Genomic DNA, 19,402 nt, shown 5'->3' on the forward strand with positions numbered 1-19,402 from the left:
ACTCCACTTTGGAGAGGGTCTCAGTGGCCCCAACATCTGCAAAATGTCTGATGTCGCCACTGGACCCAAGAGCACATGTCACAGGAGGTTTCTCACCTGGGATTGCCCCTCCCAGCTGAGACCCTGGCTGCTGTGACAAGCACATCCCTGTTCTAAGGTCCACCATGCTGTCAAAGTCCAGCCCAGCCTTACCCTCGCAAGCGACACTACACCTGCAACAAAGCTCCCAGGGCAGCTGGCCACCCAGCCACCCTCTCCCAGAGTCCCTGTGGGCAGCCCCAGCTCTGTTCTTGGACAGAGCTGGGGGCAGTGGAGAGGAACCTGGGCTTTTTCTGTTTTGTAAAGGGCACCAGTTTTAGTCACAGAGTTACCCACGCACGTGGATGACACCCTTTCCCCCATCTGCACCCATATATTCCTTTGTACTTTCCAGACTCTGCAATGTCTATCTCCTCCCTCCCTGCCCATCCCCCCTCCCCCCTACCTGAGCACAGTGCCCACAGCTCCTCCAGGCTGGGGAGAAGAGCTGACAACTGGCACTTTCTGGGTGAGGGGCCCCGGCCAGGCTTTCTCACCATCGTAGGCCCCCTGCCGCATTCCCACCCCAGGGGGCAAACCTGCCTATTAGGTAACAAGTTATTTGTGTGTTCCCACATTTGGCTAACCAAAGACAAATAGAACTGCCAGTTAGAGCTGCCACTGAGCAGGGGTAGCCAGAACCACCCCTGTGAGTGGATGCCGTCCGCCCCCACCCTTACCCCTTACCCTTACCCCTGACACAACCTTGTTAGATTTTGGGAAATTTTTTTTAAGCTCATGGTCCTCGAATGATGCTCTTACGGACTCTTCAGGGTCTAGAGACCCCAGTTTGGGAACCACTGCTCCAAGGGCTCAAGGTCTGATGCCTGCTTTTCCCAGGAAAATTTGAGGTTTTTAAAAGGATTTGCCTTGAGTAGGCAATGCTTAACTCCTAGGAAAGATCCCCCTGTGGTGGAATGCAAATGGGGCAAAGAGGCTTTTGAGCAGAATTTTCCTCCCAGATTTCAAGTTTGCTCCACCCTTTGCCCAATCTCCCTGCCACTTTTGCTGCTTCTTTCTTGGTCCCCTTGTTTTAGGAAATTGATGTCATCCTACACAAAAGCCCAGAAATAAGCAATGAAGGGCAAGATCTGAGATGCAGACATATGGGACCAGGACTTTGGGAAGTTAAAGGACTCCCAAGACCTCGTGGAAAAGTGTGGATCTCTCTGGGGATGCAGAGCAGGGGGAGGGGGGAGAAGACCCTTACCCAGCTGGCTGTGTCCTTCACAGGTGAGGTCTTTTATGCAACATCTCCAGAGAAGTTCACCTTCCAGGAAGCAGCCAATGAGTGCCGGCGGCTGGGTGCCCGGCTGGCCACCACGGGCCAGCTCTACCTGGCCTGGCAGGCTGGCATGGACATGTGCAGCGCCGGCTGGCTGGCCGACCGCAGCGTGCGCTACCCCATCTCCAAGGCCCGGCCCAACTGCGGTGGCAACCTCCTGGGCGTGAGGACCGTCTACGTGCATGCCAACCAGACGGGCTACCCCGACCCCTCATCCCGCTACGACGCCATCTGCTACACAGGTGGGGCACGGCTGGTGGTGGGAAGGGAGTTCATGCCACTAAAATGGGGTCCTAGAGGGAAGAGGGGATCTTGGAAAGGGAGGGTTGGTTTTTGCCCTTGAAGGGGCCACGGGGTACCTGAACCCCATGTTTTTAGGACACCCCTCCATTTTCACTGGTTCCTAGGAAGCCCTAAGGTAGAGACTCTTGAGACTGCAGCGTATCTAGCTCTGTCTCATCGGATCAGCACAGACGAGGCTTAAAAACCTCCAAACTGTTTTCTCCAGTTTGAATCAAAGCTCTGTCACCTACTACTGTGCAACCCTGGCAAAGTCAAGGCTGTGAACCTCACTCTTCTCATCTGTCTAGTGAGGAGATGGGGTGCCCGCCTGCAAAGACGTTGGGGGTCTGACATGTGACCCTGGCACCCATGGGAGGGTGCTGCTATCTGCCTTTTTAAATTGAATATGTCTAAAAGGAGGGTCAAAATGGGTTTTGTTGTGTTTTGTTTTTTTGTTTTTCTTTGAGACAGGGTCTCACTCTGTCATCAAGGCAAGAGTTCAGTGGTGTAATCATAGCTTACTGCAGCCTTAGCCTCCTGGGCTCAAGCAATCCTCCTGCCTCAGCCTCCCATGCAACTGGGAATACAGGCACCACCATGCTTTGCTTTTTTTTTTTTTTTTTTTTGGTAGAGATGGGGTCTTGTCATGTTGCCCAGGCTGGGCAAAATGTCATTTTACTTTATTATTATTATTATTATTGTTGAGACAGAATCTCACTCTGTCACCCAGGCTGGAGTGCAGTGGTGCTATTTCAGCTCATTGCAACCTCCATCTCCCAGGTTCAAACGATTCTTCTGCCTCAGCCTCCCAGGTAGATTGGGATTACAGGTGTGCACCATCATGCCCAGCTAATTTTGTATTTTTAGTAGAGATGGGTTTCACCATGTTGACCAGGCTGGTCTTGAACTCCTGACCTCAGGTGATCCACCCACCTCAGCCTCCCAAAGTGCTGGGCTTGCATGCGTGAGCCACCACGCCCGGCCACAAAATGTTATTGAAAAGAGTAGGGGAAAGTTTGATGGGGACTTTATTTTGAAAAATTAGACCAAAATGTTCAAATAAGTTTTTATCTTACATTTAACACATTTTGGGTTATAATTATAATTACATGCTAATTCTTGGAGGAAAAAACAATGCCTCACATGAATGAGGAGTTGCAAAACTTTTATGTACTAAGTGGTGATAACACAATGACAACTCATTACACGTTTCATTTCCACAACCTGATCTTACAGGAAGAGGGTTAATAGCTGGGATTTCCCCCTCGAAGCCTCTCTTAACCTTTTGGTATTCTAACCACTCTTTTGGAAGTAGTATCACTCTCATGGTACCCTCATTTTTCCATGACTATGAGACAGGCAGTTCTCCAAAGCCACCTTCATCAACTTCACAAACTGCACTTTCTGCAAGATTTTCTGATTTCTCCTTATAACTGACTTACCTGGTCCTGTTGGATAGTTACAGCATCAGATGGTTGGTAAGGTGCTCATGAGACGAGTGAAGCAGCAGCTGTGTTGAGCAGGAAGGGCTGTTGGGGTGGGAACTGATCTTTATGAGCCGTCAGCTCATTGGTCAATATCTTGCCCTCTGATAGCTCTTGCACTCTTGCAATCTTGAAACTGTGGGGACTCCTACAATGAATGCCGATAGCTGAGTACCCCTGAAATGGGCTTGGCAAGGTGCCTGGCACACAGTGGTGCCCTCCTGCCCCAGCAGGGAAGGAGGGGGAGCCATGCTCATCTCCAGCCCACTCCTCATCCCCCTCAAGCCGGTCCCAGGCTGAGAGGCTAAAGCTTGTCTTTGCCCCTCCCCTAGGTGAAGACTTTGTGGACATCCCAGAAAACTTCTTTGGAGTGGGGGGTGAGGAGGACATCACCGTCCAGACAGTGACCTGGCCTGACATGGAGCTGCCACTGCCTCGAAACATCACTGAGGGTGAAGCCCGAGGCAGCGTGATCCTTACCGTAAAGCCCATCTTCGAGGTCTCCCCCAGTCCCCTGGAACCCGAGGAGCCCTTCACGTTTGCCCCTGAAATAGGGGCCACTGCCTTCGCTGAGGTTGAGAATGAGACTGGAGAGGCCACCAGGCCCTGGGGCTTTCCCACACCTGGCCTGGGCCCTGCCACGGCATTCACCAGTGAGGACCTCGTCGTGCAGGTGACCGCTGTCCCTGGGCAGCCGCATTTGCCAGGGGGTAAGTAGCTGCCCGTGGGTGCATCCAGGGGCAGGTGGAGAGAACTTGGCCTGCAGGGAAGGGATTCCCGCAGTTGAAGGCTGTACCTTCTACTTAACCTGGCACGTGGGACAATGTTCTCTCCTCTCAGACCTTATTCTCCTCATCTGTGGAACAAAAACAATAGGCCAGACTAGTCAGGTCCACACTCTTGCCACCAGGGATTTATTTCAAATGAGGTCATATGTGGAATCCAGTCTCTGTATCAAGCAGGCACATGTGCCACATAGTTCTAAGGGAAGTAGCGTGGAGAACAACTGGGCTCCTTCTGTCCAGGGCCCCTCCTTGCCCCATCAGACACCCCAACAAAACAGAGCCACTAGAAAACCACTGCCTTGGATGACCCCTGAGGCCTCTCACTGCTCTGACCTCCCAGGACAAAGGCCAGCAAACTGTGGCCAGTGGGCTGGGTTTAGCTGTTCTCATATGGCCCATGACTTAAGAATGATTTTTACATTCTTAAATAGTTAGGGGCAAAAAGTCAAAAGAAAAATAATATTTTGTGACACATGAAAATTATATAAAATTCAAATTTCAATGTCCACAAATAAAGTTTGATTGGAACAAAGCCATAGCCATCTGTGGACAAGTTGTCTATGACTAACTGAGGACAATCACAGCGAGGTTGAATACAGTCAGTCTTTCATGTCTGGATTCAACCAACCGTAGATGGAAAATATTCCAAAAGAAAAGAAACAATAACAACAATACAACAATAAAAGTAATACAGATTTAAAACAATACAATATAACCACTACTTACATAGCATTGACGTTGTATCAGGTTTTATAGGTAATCTAGAGATGCTTTTATACAAATACTACACTTGTATATCAGGGACTTGAGACTCTGCAGATTTTGGTATCTGAGGAGATCCTGGATCCCGAAGGATAACTGTAGTTGTAACAGAAGCCACATAGCCCACAAAGCCTAAAATATTTACCATTCGGCTCTTTCCAGAAAACGCTTCCAACTCCTGTTCTAAGATGACAGTGTTCTAGGTGCTTAATACATGTGTGAAAATGGGATGTCAGGTAGCATAGAGCCCAGTGCTTCCCAAACTCAAGTCTATGAACAAGGACATTCTGGTGTGGCCTTGTTCCGTAATGGCCTTGGTGGGGTTCCCACGCAGGGGAGGGGCAGATGGACGCTGCCATCCACCATCACACCCACGTGGCTACCAAGTGGGATTTCAGCCTGCATTGCCCAGATAAATCCAATATGTCAGGCAGCAGGAGTTGGCCCCCCTCTGTGCCCATGGAGCCTTGGAAGCTGCACACCGTGGGTCCCTGAACCTGACCGCTCCCTCCTCCCCACCCAGGGGTCGTCTTCCACTACCGCCCGGGACCCACCCGCTACTCGCTGACCTTTGAGGAGGCACAGCAGGCCTGCCTGCGCACGGGGGCGGTCATTGCCTCGCCGGAGCAGCTCCAGGCCGCCTACGAAGCAGGCTATGAGCAGTGTGACGCCGGCTGGCTGCGGGACCAGACCGTCAGGTGAAGCCATGCTCCTCGCCCAGCCCAAACCCAATTGAAGAGGTCAGGCTTAAGGAGCCACAGCCTGACACCGCCCCCAGCACACTGAGCACCCAATACCTTGTGGGTTAATGAATGAATTAGTGACTCAACTGAGGCATATCCCGAAAGGGTGGTGAAGGGCACCGAGTAATGTTCAGTTCTTGGTCATTTCTCCCCATCAGACAGAGGCAGCAGCCCCCTCCTCAAGTGCCCCGTTCCCCTCCAGCCTGACCCAGTGCCCTTCCATGCAGCTGCTCTCTCCTGAAGCCAGAAATCCCCCAGGAGCCACCAGATCCTTCCCCCAGGCTGCTCAGAGAACTTGCTGCATAAGGGGCTTTTTCCTGGTTTGAATACCACCAGACAACTGAAGACATCTCCAAGTCCCTGAGTAGCCTCTGGCCTCAGCCCAGGGCCGTGCATCTACCAGCCCCTGGAACAGGCCTTCATCTTCTCCTCCCACTCTCCTTTGCAGATACCCCATTGTGAGCCCCCGGACCCCATGCGTGGGTGACAAGGACAGCAGCCCAGGGGTCAGGACCTATGGCGTGCGCCCATCAACAGAGACCTACGATGTCTACTGCTTTGTAGACAGACTTGAGGGTACAAGCCACATTCTCACATTTCGGGCCCTAGATGGGCAGGGGGTGGGCAGGGAGCTGACAGGGCGATACAAAGAAGAGAGGGGGTTACCACCCACCCACCCCTGATTCCACCCAGCTTTCCAGGTGGGAAAGGGTCCTGCTGAAAAAGGAAGGCCCCCAGCCCCTCCCTCAGATCTAGTGCCTGCTCTCCTACTGAATGTTTCATGTGGTCTCCTCCAGCATTGCAGGGGAGCATCAGTCCCTTTAAAAAGCAATGAGGTCTGTGGGTAAATCTCAGTTTATTATAAATAAACGCTATATACACCAACTCCTTCTTGGAGAGTCCCAATGCCTGGGCACAAATCAAAGGCACTGAGAAGTCCTGCAGTAAAAACAAAAACAAAAAACCTTTTTAGGCTGGGCACAGTGGCTCACACCTGTAATCCCAGCACTTTGAGAGGCAGAGGTGCCTCAATGTGAGTTGATTGCTCTAGCCCAGGAGTTCGAGACCAGCCTGGGCAACATGGCCAAATCCGGTCTCTACTTATTTAAAAAGAAAGAAAAAGAAAAACTTCCTTAACTCTCTTTAACTCAGCATTGCCCAATTTTTAACCACAGACCTTTATTTTGTTTTATTTCATTTCTTTTAATTTCCATGAAAATTACCAAATTTCCACTGAACGCAATTTTGGAAATGCTGGTGTTCCAGAAAGATTTCGGCATTGCCACTCACTCGTTTCAAGACCCTGGGCAAGTCACTTAACCTCTCTAGGCCTCAGCTCCTTCATCTATAAAATGGGGCTGATTTATATGTACATCAGAGGTTTTTTTGAGTATTAAATGAGATATGTATGAAAAGTTCTTGGCACAAGTAGGTGTTCAGTAAGTGTAAGCCCTCCTCCCCCTAAACCGGATAGGTATCAGGTACATCGCTAGGTGCTGGGACCCAGCCCCTGCCCTGGATGAGTTCCCAGGGTGTGGGGTGAGCACGTCCACAGCAGTCACAGTGATAAGTGCAGTGGTGTAGGGGTGCAAAGGGATTGGAGGGGGCCCAGGCGAGCTGCCTCGCTTAGCCAAGGGAGGGGGTGCCTAAGTGTGAGTGGAGAATCCAGAAAAGAGGGACGGAGGAGAAGTTGTTGTGGAAACAACTCAGCCCAGTTTTACGGGAATTTTGCCTTTTTTGGCACCGAAAGTCCTATGTACCGGGAAACCCCAGTCCAGTACAAACCAGAGCGGTGGTCACCTATTTCCCAGGGTCCCAGAAAATCTAAGGGGGAGTGGTCAAAAAAGGGGTGATGGAGCTGGGCTGGGTCTTAGCCCTGGTGAGGAGGGTTAGAGGAACTCTGTCCTGGGTGGGCAGGGATGGACCTGGCCTGAGTGTGGGGGGGTCATATTCTACCCCTTGCCTCTGCCCCCAGGGGAGGTGTTCTTCGCCACACGCCTTGAGCAGTTCACCTTCCAGGAAGCACTGGAGTTCTGTGAATCTCACAATGCTACGCTGGCCACCACGGGCCAGCTCTACGCCGCCTGGAGCCGCGGCCTGGACAAGTGCTATGCCGGCTGGCTGGCCGACGGCAGCCTCCGCTACCCCATCGTCACCCCAAGGCCTGCCTGCGGTGGGGACAAGCCAGGCGTGAGAACGGTCTACCTCTACCCTAACCAGACGGGCCTCCCAGACCCACTGTCCCGGCACCATGCCTTCTGCTTCCGAGGTATGCAGCCTCACTTCGGCTCCAACAGCCCCTTTTGTCTGGAGAGGACCCCACTGGGTTCACCGGATCCTGCCACCACCCAGTATCCCATCCATCAGAGCAAGAAAATGTCAGTCCCTCTGGGGCAGAGCCAGCTCTGAAACCAGCACAACGCAGGCTTTGACCCCAAGGCAAGGTCATCCTTCTAAAGTTCCCCAGAGACAAGTAGAGATAAATAAGAACTTGAGCTGGTATTTATGTCTACTAGAAATGAAGCAGACCTGAATTTGAGTTATGGCTCTGCTACTTAATAGCTGTGTGAAAATGGAGATATAATGGTTCCTACTTCAGAGAGAGCTGCAAGAATTAATTAAGTGCACGTGGTGCCCTTGGCATAGTGCCTGGGACACAGTAAATGCTCAATAAATGTTAGCTTTATTTCATATACATATCTATATGTAAAGCTGTAATATATAGCTTTATTTTGTACAACCTGTAATTTGTACACTCTTGTCAAATTCTCTCCTGCTTGCAAATATTTTTGTGATGAGTTTAGTCAAATTATTCTATTATTCTTCACTAAGCACTGGTGGTTCAAGTTTTTCGTTGACCTATGCTATGGATATGCTACCATTTCAACCATCACTCCCCACTGGACTTCTGAGAGTGATGTCATCAAGCAATATAGTAAGCATGGCCAGGGCATAGCCACGGAATTGCTGGGCTCTGGATGAGTTCCTGCAGAGTCCATGGAGGGTCTGGGTGCATGGACCAGAATGTAGATTGTAATAACAGCCTGTGCCATGTTTTATAGTTTACATCAAAACTGAGTGTCTTTGCAACTTCCTGTGAATCTAGAATTATTCTCAAATAAACTTAAGGGGAAAAAACTTGAGTGTCCCCAAGTTTCCCAGACATCCAGGGTCACCTTTTAAAACCCAATTCAAGGCCAGGAGCAGTGGCTTACGCCTGTAATCCCAGCACTTTGGGAGGCCAAGGCAGGCAGATCACTTGAGGTTAGGAGTTCGAGATCAGCCTGGCCAACATGGTGAAACCCTGTCTCTACTAAAAAAAAGTGCAAAAATTAGCCTAGTTTGGTGGTGTGTACCTGTAATCCCAGCTACTAGGGAGGCTGAGGCAGGAGAATCACCTCAACCCAGGAGGCGGAGGTTGCAGTGAGCCGAGATTATTCTGCTCTACTCCAGCCTGGGCAGCAGAGCAAGACTCTGTCTCAAAAAAAAAAAAAAAAAATTCAAAGTTCAGCCAGCCTCAATAAGTCAAGTCCAATTCTCTCCCAGAGGCTTTGATGAGGCTCTTGTCCCAGTGCCCCTTCCCTGCTCTGGGAAGCAGAAACCAAGCCAGTTAACCTCCCAGAAATTTCCCAGCCATGCTGCCCCCAGCCTCCCACCCCTGACCCTCCGTGAACTCAGCCTTGTGTATTATCCTGCACAGTTCAGCTTCCTTGCTGACCAAGCCCACTGCTGGTTTCCCCCACACCAGTACAGTTACCCCCAGCCCATGAATCCTGCCTTCACGCTTTCAAATGCCGAGATGGTTTCATGGAATTGAGTACCATCCTCCTATTTTTGGTCGTGACACACTTGGAACATAATCCCTGTCCCCCAAGGTTGTTCAGTAGTTGAGAGCGTGGAGTCTGGTACCAGATGCTTAAATTCAAAGACTAGATCTGACATTTGTAAGCCATTGACTCTGGGCAAATCATGTAACTCTGTGCCTCAGTTTCCCCATCTGTAAAATGAGATAATCATATCTCTCTCATAAAGCTGTTGTGAGATAAAGTGATTTTAGATACACAAGGCTTTAGAGCAATGCCCGGCATATATGGTCAATTCTGCAGGGGAGATGCCCCAGATCACTGGAACTAAAGTGCTGATGGTGCATATGGATATTATATCATTGGTGCCGATGGCTCTTACTAAGCGAGAAGGCAAACAGCCATCTGCTGAACTAGGAGGTGGGGCCTGGCCACCTCAGAGTCCCCTAGCTCCCCTCAAGAAGGGCCAGCCAAGGACGGGTCACTGGTAAGAGAGGGACTCACTCTGACCACCCACATCTCCTTTAGGCATTTCAGCGGTTCCTTCTCCAGGAGAAGAAGAGGGTGGCACACCCACATCACCCTCTGGTGTGGAGGAGTGGATCGTGACCCAAGTGGTTCCTGGTGTGGCTGCTGTCCCCGTAGAAGAGGAGACAACTGCTGTACCCTCAGGGGAGACTACTGCCATCCTAGAGTTCACCACCGAGCCAGAAAACCAGACAGAATGGGAACCAGCCTATACCCCAGTGGGCACATCCCCGCTGCCAGGTTGGTATGGCTTGGGTTCTGGGGCACACCCTGAAGCTGCATACCCCTGTCTTCCTACAGTGTGCCTGGTGGGGCGGGGGGGTTCCCTCCCTGGGATTTGTGCTGTTTCCCCAGCCCTGACACTGGCTGGGTGTTCTGCTATGGGCAACTTCAGCCACCTCAGCTGGCCTCTAGGACCTGCCCCAGAGTGACAAAAACAGCCTTGTCCATAAAATTTTTTTATTACACATTTACTTTTCTGGACCTTATTTCCCTTGCATGAACCCCCAAATGCCCAGGACTGTGCTGATGAGAGGGCCCTCAGTTACCTTGTCCTCCTGCACTGACACCCTTACCCTAACCTCAACCCTCTCTTGTGGGAAGATCTCTAATAGAGGAGAAAGAATCAGGGAGGGGGTTACTGTTGGAAGTCTGACTGTGACCTGTCTCCTTGCCTTTCTCCTCCTTCCATTTCCCTCTTCTGGGCCAGGCCTCCTCAGGCAGAACTTCCTGAACTCTGTCACAATTAAACCAGATGAGACTTAACAGGATGAAAGCAGCAGTCCCTAAACCTTGTTGGATAAAGTGTTTGGTGGCCACTAAAGTTTGGGAAATGCTGGCTTACAGAGATTAACAGGTTTCCTCACTGCAGACCTTCTCAGAGCCTTGAATGTGCTAATGTGCACTGTGAGTCTCCAAGAGGAGGTGATAGATGTAGAGTGTCCCAAATGAACCACAGAGCCTCCCCCCACTCCCACAGAGCATTGTTCATATCTAGCAGCTTCCAACTGGGGAAAGCTTGATTTAAAACAATGTACAGTAGTATGTGTGTATACCTGGTAGAGTCAGTTTCCCTGGGGGTATGTGCATCTGAAGAAAGGAGTATATCCGAGCTCCCACTAACTCATCCAGCTATGCATCAGCATTCTGTGCATGGTTCCAGAGCAATTTGGTGGTGTCAGGTGCTCTTCTGGGCATTGGAGATGCAAAGCCTGGCCTCCCTCCATATCAGAAGGTTAGGATGCCTCTGTAGAGCAGGGGAGAGTCTGACCTAGCAGCCTCACCCAGCAGCCACACCTGCCTGTGACCTTCCTCGCCCTTCACCAGGAGAAGAATGACTGAGTCCTCTTTGGCATCGGGGTGTGACTTTGCACAGGACTCTGGCAACCACGAGTGGGGAGTTACCAGTGGGAAAGTGGCTCCAGCAGCCCCGTAGAAATGTTTTCTAGACTTCAGTTCCTGACCACCTTGCTGATTTCAGCCATATCTGGGAACGATTTGCACTATCATTTGCTCCATGTATTTTTCTTTAAGTTGACTTGCTTTAAAAAAAAGAAATGTAGGGCTGAGTACGGTGGCTTACACCTGTAATCCCAGCACTTTGGGAGGCCAAGGTGGGAGGACCACTTGAGGCCAGGAGTTCAAGACCAGCCTGGCCAACATGGCAAAACCCAGTGTCTACTAAAAATACAAAAATTAGCCAGGTGTGGTGGCACGCACCTGTAGTCCCAGCTACTCGGGAGGCTGAGGCATGAGAATCACTTGAACCCAGGACGTGGAGGTTGCAGTCAGCCAAGATGGTGCCACCGCACTGCAGCCTGGGCAACAGAGCAAGACCCTCTCTCCAAAAAAAAAGAAAGAAATGTAAATTTATTGAAGAGGGAACTGTTATATTATGACTGCAAATGGTCATCCTGATGTGTTTCATAGATAAATAGATAGATGATAGATAGATAGATAGATACATACATACATACATACATACATACATACGTACATACATACATACCTATCAAAATAAAAAGAATCTTTTTCGGGTCCTGCCCAGCTAACTTTTTTTTTTTTTTCATGGCACCACTGCTATGCTTCATGCCCCACCTCCCCCTCTAAGATTCTCCTCTCAGCAAGAACAAACTAAACCTGCTCAGTGGACCCAGCACCCTCAGTGCTCAGGGGCCCCATCTGGGAAGTAGGCCCCAAAGTACATACAAGGTTAAAATGCAGTGTGGCTGTTTTTCAAATGCCAAAGGAAAGAAGAGCTGAAGCAAAGAATGTAGCCTTGATTAGTTAGAATTGTGGGGTTTCCTTTTTTCATTTCTCTGTTTTTCAAATTGTCTGTAACAGAGTTCTCAGAACTGGAGAAAGTCACTGTATGTTTACAAACATCACCACCTGGCCCTTTCTTCCTCAGAAGGATGGCTTAAAATGCACAGTTCTTACACTGAAGTGAGCCCCAGCATCACAAGGAGGGCTTGCTAAAACACAGTATGCCAGACTTCTTCCCAGAGTTGCTGAATCAGTGGGGCTGGGGTGAGGTCATCAGTGGGGCTGGGGTGAGGTCTAGGAATTTGCTTTTCTATTCAAGCTCCCAGAGGGTGCTCTTGCTGCGAGTCCAAGCTTTGAAAACCATGGGACCAAATCAATGAGATGGTAATGTGGAAGTACTTGCAGGATGACCTTGGTGGTCTTCAGTGGTGGGCAGGCCCCCACATCCAGTGGGTTGTGTGGATGGTGGCCCCCGCATCTCACACAAAGTACAACCTGTGTAGCCCATGGCCCTGTGGGCACCTGGGGGAGCTTCCCAGTTCCCTACCTCCCTCCTTCCTTTCTCCCTGTCCTTCTGCCTTCTTTTCTCCCTATACTTCCTTCCTTCCTTCTTTCCTTTCTTCATTTCCAAGACACTTTACACAGTTCCATTAGAAAGCATTTGGACACGTTGCTGAGCTCTTGAGAGAAAAATTTTACTGTGGAAAGAATGGAGTTTAGATTCTACATTTGAGCTTAAAGTGGGGCAGAGTTAATAAACCCACACTTCATCTTTCTTCCTTCTTTCCTACAGGGATCCTTCCTACTTGGCCTCCCACTGGCGCAGCAACAGAGGAAAGTACAGAAGGCCCTTCTGCAACTGAAGTGCCCTCTGCCTCAGAGGAACCATCCCCCTCAGAGGTGCCATTCCCCTCAGAGGAGCCATCCCCCTCAGAGGAACCATTCCCCTCAGTGAGGCCATTCCCCTCAGTGGAGCTGTTCCCCTCAGAGGAGCCATTCCCCTCCAAGGAGCCATCCCCCTCAGAGGAACCATCAGCCTCGGAAGAGCCGTATACACCTTCACCCCCCGTGCCCAGCTGGACTGAGCTGCCCAGCTCTGGGGAGGAATCTGGGGCCCCTGATGTCAGTGGTGACTTCACAGGCAGTGGAGATGTTTCAGGACACCTTGACTTCAGTGGGCAGCTGTCAGGGGACAGGGCAAGTGGACTGCCCTCTGGAGACCTGGACTCCAGTGGTCTTACTTCCACAGTGGGCTCAGGCCTGCCTGTGGAAAGTGGACTACCCTCAGGGGATGAAGAGAGAATTGAGTGGCCCAGCACTCCTACGGTTGGTGAACTGCCCTCTGGAGCTGAGATCCTAGAGGGCTCTGCCTCTGGAGTTGGGGATCTCAGTGGACTTCCTTCTGGAGAAGTTCTAGAGACCTCTGCCTCTGGAGTAGGAGACCTCAGTGGGCTTCCTTCTGGAGAAGTTCTAGAGACCACTGCCCCTGGAGTAGAGGACATCAGCGGGCTTCCTTCTGGAGAAGTTCTAGAGACCACTGCCCCTGGAGTAGAGGACATCAGCGGGCTTCCTTCTGGAGAAGTTCTAGAGACCACTGCCCCTGGAGTAGAGGACATCAGCGGGCTTCCTTCTGGAGAAGTTCTAGAGACCACTGCCCCTGGAGTAGAGGACATCAGCGGGCTTCCTTCTGGAGAAGTTCTAGAGACCACTGCCCCTGGAGTAGAGGACATCAGCGGGCTTCCTTCTGGAGAAGTTCTAGAGACCACTGCCCCTGGAGTAGAGGACATCAGCGGGCTTCCTTCTGGAGAAGTTCTAGAGACCGCTGCCCCTGGAGTAGAGGACATCAGCGGGCTTCCTTCTGGAGAAGTTCTAGAGACCGCTGCCCCTGGAGTAGAGGACATCAGCGGGCTTCCTTCTGGAGAAGTTCTAGAGACCGCTGCCCCTGGAGTAGAGGACATCAGCGGGCTTCCTTCTGGAGAAGTTCTAGAGACCGCTGCCCCTGGAGTAGAGGACATCAGCGGGCTTCCTTCTGGAGAAGTTCTAGAGACCGCTGCCCCTGGAGTAGAGGACATCAGCGGGCTTCCTTCTGGAGAAGTTCTAGAGACCGCTGCCCCTGGAGTAGAGGACATCAGCGGGCTTCCTTCTGGAGAAGTTCTAGAGACCGCTGCCCCTGGAGTAGAGGACATCAGCGGGCTTCCTTCTGGAGAAGTTCTAGAGACTGCTGCCCCTGGAGTAGAGGACATCAGCGGGCTTCCTTCTGGAGAAGTTCTAGAGACTGCTGCCCCTGGAGTAGAGGACATCAGCGGGCTTCCTTCTGGAGAAGTTCTAGAGACTGCTGCCCCTGGAGTAGAGGACATCAGCGGGCTTCCTTCTGGAGAAGTTCTAGAGACTGCTGCCCCTGGAGTAGAGGACATCAGCGGGCTTCCTTCTGGAGAAGTTCTAGAGACTGCTGCCCCTGGAGTAGAGGACATCAGCGGGCTTCCTTCTGGAGAAGTTCTAGAGACTGCTGCCCCTGGAGTAGAGGACATCAGCGGGCTTCCTTCTGGAGAAGTTCTAGAGACTGCTGCCCCTGGAGTAGAGGACATCAGCGGGCTTCCTTCTGGAGAAGTTCTAGAGACTGCTGCCCCTGGAGTAGAGGACATCAGCGGGCTTCCTTCTGGAGAAGTTCTAGAGACTGCTGCCCCTGGAGTAGAGGACATCAGCGGGCTTCCTTCTGGAGAAGTTCTAGAGACTACTGCCCCTGGAGTAGAGGAGATCAGCGGGCTTCCTTCTGGAGAAGTTCTAGAGACTACTGCCCCTGGAGTAGATGAGATCAGTGGGCTTCCTTCTGGAGAAGTTCTAGAGACTACTGCCCCTGGAGTAGAGGAGATCAGCGGGCTTCCTTCTGGAGAAGTTCTAGAGACTTCTACCTCTGCGGTAGGGGACCTCAGTGGACTTCCTTCTGGAGGAGAAGTTCTAGAGATTTCTGTCTCTGGAGTAGAGGACATCAGTGGGCTTCCTTCTGGAGAGGTTGTAGAGACTTCTGCCTCTGGAATAGAGGATGTCAGTGAACTTCCTTCAGGAGAAGGTCTAGAGACCTCTGCTTCTGGAGTAGAGGACCTCAGCAGGCTCCCTTCTGGAGAAGAAGTTCTAGAGATTTCTGCCTCTGGATTTGGGGACCTCAGTGGACTTCCTTCTGGAGGAGAAGGTCTAGAGACCTCTGCTTCTGAAGTAGGGACTGACCTCAGTGGGCTTCCTTCTGGAAGGGAGGGTCTAGAGACTTCAGCTTCTGGAGCTGAGGACCTCAGTGGGTTGCCTTCTGGAAAAGAAGACTTGGTGGGGTCAGCTTCTGGAGACTTGGACTTGGGCAAACTGCCTTCTGGAACTCTAGGAAGTGGGCAAGCTCCAGAAACAAGTGGTCTTCCCTCTGGATTTAGTGGTGAGTATTCTGGGGTGGACCTTGGAAGTGGCCCACCCTCTGGCCTGCCTGACTTTAGTGGACTTCCATCTGGATTCCCAACTGTTTCCCTAGTGGATTCTACATTGGTGGAAGTGGTCACAGCCTCCACTGCAAGTGAACTGGAAGGGAGGGGAACCATTGGCATCAGTGGTGCAGGAGAAATATCTGGACTGCCCTCCAGTGAGCTGGACATTAGTGGGAGAGCTAGTGGACTCCCTTCAGGAACTGAACTCAGTGGCCAAGCATCTGGGTCTCCTGATGTCAGTGGGGAAATACCTGGACTCTTTGGTGTCAGTGGACAGCCATCAGGGTTTCCTGACACTAGTGGGGAAACATCTGGAGTGACTGAGCTTAGCGGGCTGTCCTCTGGACAACCAGGTATTAGTGGAGAAGCATCTGGAGTTCTTTATGGCACTAGTCAACCCTTTGGCATAACTGATCTGAGTGGAGAAACATCTGGGGTCCCTGATCTCAGTGGGCAGCCTTCAGGGTTACCAGGGTTCAGTGGGGCAACATCAGGAGTCCCTGACCTGGTTTCTGGTACCACGAGTGGCAGCGGTGAATCTTCTGGGATTACATTTGTGGACACCAGTTTGGTTGAAGTGGCCCCTACTACATTTAAAGAAGAAGAAGGCTTAGGGTCTGTGGAACTCAGTGGCCTCCCTTCCGGAGAGGCAGATCTGTCAGGCAAATCTGGGATGGTGGATGTCAGTGGACAGTTTTCTGGAACAGTCGATTCCAGTGGGTTTACATCCCAGACTCCGGAATTCAGTGGCCTACCAAGTGGCATAGCTGAGGTCAGTGGAGAATCCTCCAGAGCTGAGATTGGGAGCAGCCTGCCCTCGGGAGCATATTATGGCAGTGGAACTCCATCTAGTTTCCCCACTGTCTCTCTTGTAGACAGAACTTTGGTGGAATCTGTAACCCAGGCTCCAACAGCCCAAGAGGCAGGAGAAGGGCCTTCTGGCATTTTAGAACTCAGTGGTGCTCATTCTGGAGCACCAGACATGTCTGGGGAGCATTCTGGATTTCTGGACCTAAGTGGGCTGCAGTCCGGGCTGATAGAGCCCAGCGGAGAGCCACCAGGTACTCCATATTTTAGTGGGGATTTTGCCAGCACCACCAATGTAAGTGGAGAATCCTCTGTAGCCATGGGCACCAGTGGAGAGGCCTCAGGACTTCCAGAAGTTACTTTAATCACTTCTGAGTTCGTGGAGGGTGTTACTGAACCAACTATTTCTCAGGAACTAGGCCAAAGGCCCCCTGTGACACACACACCCCAGCTTTTTGAGTCCAGTGGAAAAGTCTCCACAGCTGGGGACATTAGTGGAGCTACCCCAGTGCTCCCTGGGTCTGGAGTAGAAGTATCATCAGTCCCAGAATCTAGCAGTGAGACGTCCGCCTATCCTGAAGCTGGGTTCGGGGCATCTGCCGCCCCTGAGGCCAGCAGAGAAGATTCTGGGTCCCCTGATCTGAGTGAAACCACCTCTGCATTCCACGAAGCTAACCTTGAGAGATCCTCTGGCCTAGGAGTGAGCGGCAGCACTTTGACATTTCAAGAAGGCGAGGCGTCCGCTGCCCCAGAAGTGAGTGGAGAATCCACCACCACCAGTGATGTGGGGACAGAGGCACCAGGCTTGCCTTCAGCCACTCCCACGGCTTCTGGAGACAGGACTGAAATCAGCGGAGACCTGTCTGGTCACACCTCGCAGCTGGGCGTTGTCATCAGCACCAGCATCCCAGAGTCTGAGTGGACCCAGCAGACCCAGCGCCCTGCAGAGACGCATCTAGAAATTGAGTCCTCAAGCCTCCTGTACTCAGGAGAAGAGACTCACACAGTCGAAACAGCCACCTCCCCAACAGATGCTTCCATCCCAGCTTCTCCGGAATGGAAACGTGAATCAGAATCAACTGCTGCAGGTATTGTGATTTTTTCCCCCTTTAAATGTGCTTAGGTAGTTCAGACTGTAGCCTACTGCAGCACAGAAGGAGGCAGCATAGCTTTAAGGTTCCAAGAACAACTCCACCAAAGGTTAGCTGTGCAGCCTCAGGCAATAGTCTTCCCCTCTCTGAGCCTCATCTGTAACGTAAGAGTAGGATAATACTCTACCAGGGAAGATTAGGCAGAACATAAACATAGATAGATAAAGCAAGCACTTAGCATCACGCTCTGCATGCAGTGCACACTTGTAAAGATGAGTGATGTTATCGTTACAGCGGAGTTACAGTCCGTGAGTTTTTACACGTGAATTCAACTATCTGTACTTGGCACAGGGAGAGAAGGATGACTGTCTAGATAGTGCTAGAAATTCTGCTCATGCACCCTGCCCCGGAGTGAGTGTAAGATGAGAGAGTAAATCTGCTGATGGTGTTTATGTCTGAATATTTATTTTGTGCAGGGTTAAAACCTGCACAACTTAAGGAACTATGAAGTGTCATTTGGCTATCTGGTTTTAGATTCTGCATCCCCAACCCCATCCGTGTACAAAGGGGCTCCTGTACTATCATGATTGTCTCACCGTGACATAACTCCAAGTGCCGGGCAGCGGGCACTGGTAGCGGTAGCTGATTTTCCTTTTTTTTTTTTTTTTTTTTTGCTCTGGGGTCCCTTGTACCTTCCTTTGTGCTGAGAGAGCTTTCACAGCTAGAGAGCTCCCCCCGATGCTGTGGGCCAGGTGCCCAGGAGGGACAGAGGCCTCAGAAAAGTGCTGACCCAAAGCCAGCCTCGTGGACTTCAGGAACCTCATGCCCCAACTTTGAGGTCTTGGAGGCCATGGTAGCCAGGTGACTGTGTTCTTGATGCTCAACCTCTCCCCTGGGGGTTGCAGCCCCCGCCAGGTCCTGTGCAGAGGAGCCCTGTGGAGCTGGGACCTGCAAGGAGACAGAGGGACACGTCATATGCCTGTGCCCCCCTGGCTACACTGGCGAGCACTGTAACATAGGTAAGGCCCTCATTGGCCGTGGAGAGTGAGGGCGGAGGCGCTGGACAGACTTCTTCATCCCCCAAAGGGTCCCCAGGTGGGAGGAGGCAACCAAGGTCCACTGAGGCTCAGGCTGGGAAGGAGCTGCATGATGACATGTCAGGGGCAGAAGCCACAGGACAGACATGGCTTATCTTTCTCGAATGTCTAGGTTTAGGAGAAAAGAGTCAAGTAATTAAGTTGCTAAGTATTTTTATATCAGGCTGATGACTATTGTAGGAGTAGAATGAAAAATGTGCTTGAATTTTGGAGATGAGACTTCAAAGAAATATCGAGCATGGGGTGAGTATTAAATACAGCGGGTCACACCTCTCCGCTCCTGGTGAGGAGTGTCTGAGTGGGGCCATCTTGTATCGTGCAGAGTGAACCCCACCAAGTTGCCTCCATGCTTGGGTCTGCGTGGGGTTTGGGTCCCCTTCTTGCCCTGAAGGAAATGACACAAACAACGGTAATCACCCAGCACAGGGATTCGTGGATGTAGGGCAGCTGTAACCCAGCAGCACGTCTGCCCAGGCACCCACCATGAGCCTGTTTGTCCTTAGCTATGGGTGAAGCAGCCTGTGGGATGGGTGGAGAGGCTGGGGACCCTCTGATCTGAGGTGGACCCCGGAAGGAGATGGTTAGAATCTACCTGTTGTTCCACGGACACACGGGAGGCCCGTGGTCATGAGGACATCTCATCTCATCTTATCAACATCACCACCTTGAGGAAAGAAATGCCCAGTTACCACCAAGCTCATGTTCTTTCATTAGTTCTCCCACTAACCCCAGTGCCCTTATCCCCAGCCTCCCTCCTAGGTCAAGAATCAGAGACCTAGGGTCTTTCATAAAAGGGGTCACTCCTAGGACATGTGCAAAAATGAAAAAACGAATCCTGGAGAAAAAACAATCACTTCCACGTAAACCTCATGTCGGGCAATTATCCTTCGATAGCCTTTACATCAAACACAGAGAAGAATTCTGTGTC

The 19,402-nt window shown here is 51.3% G+C and overlaps 1 protein-coding gene across 9 annotated transcripts in view, besides 3 other annotated features; it reads left to right on the forward strand.

Annotated features, from left to right (window-relative positions):
* The window catches only part of ACAN (aggrecan), a 71,918-nt gene that overhangs the window by 38,608 nt on the left and 13,908 nt on the right, over window positions 1-19,402 (forward strand). For 6 of the 9 annotated variants that reach the window (NM_001411097.1, NM_001411096.1, NM_001135.4 and 3 more), the window contains 7 exons: window positions 1,312-1,605; window positions 3,462-3,839; window positions 5,200-5,374; window positions 5,868-5,995; window positions 7,395-7,688; window positions 9,751-9,990; window positions 12,809-17,374. In NM_001411097.1, coding sequence (NP_001398026.1) covers window positions 1,312-1,605; window positions 3,462-3,839; window positions 5,200-5,374; window positions 5,868-5,995; window positions 7,395-7,688; window positions 9,751-9,990; window positions 12,809-17,374 — 6,075 coding nt within the window. Of the gene's footprint in view, window positions 1-1,311; window positions 1,606-3,461; window positions 3,840-5,199; window positions 5,375-5,867; window positions 5,996-7,394; window positions 7,689-9,750; window positions 9,991-12,808; window positions 17,375-18,282; window positions 18,397-19,402 lie in introns of all 9 variants that reach the window. The other 3 variants (NM_001369268.1, NM_013227.4, XM_047432215.1) reach the window with 1 other exon arrangement.
* Window positions 4,872-5,372: an enhancer, noted in NCBI's record as "H3K4me1 hESC enhancer chr15:89390146-89390646 (GRCh37/hg19 assembly coordinates)". NCBI's record gives its function as "activates a minimal SCP1, AML or CMV promoter by ChIP-STARR-seq in primed H9 embryonic stem cells {active_cell/tissue: H9 hESC(primed)}" and the evidence as "EXISTENCE:reporter gene assay evidence [ECO:0000049][PMID:30033119]".
* Window positions 5,373-5,873: an enhancer, noted in NCBI's record as "H3K4me1 hESC enhancer chr15:89390647-89391147 (GRCh37/hg19 assembly coordinates)". NCBI's record gives its function as "activates a minimal SCP1, AML or CMV promoter by ChIP-STARR-seq in primed H9 embryonic stem cells {active_cell/tissue: H9 hESC(primed)}" and the evidence as "EXISTENCE:reporter gene assay evidence [ECO:0000049][PMID:30033119]".
* Window positions 5,931-6,098: a silencer, noted in NCBI's record as "fragment chr15:89391205-89391372 (GRCh37/hg19 assembly coordinates)". NCBI's record gives its function as "represses an EF-1alpha promoter that drives an FKBP-Casp9 reporter gene in an ReSE screen in HepG2 liver carcinoma cells {active_cell/tissue: HepG2}" and the evidence as "EXISTENCE:reporter gene assay evidence [ECO:0000049][PMID:32094911]".

The sequence above is a fragment of the Homo sapiens genome, chromosome 15 (genome assembly GCF_000001405.40).
Source record: "Homo sapiens chromosome 15, GRCh38.p14 Primary Assembly".
NCBI lineage: Eukaryota > Metazoa > Chordata > Mammalia > Primates > Hominidae > Homo > Homo sapiens.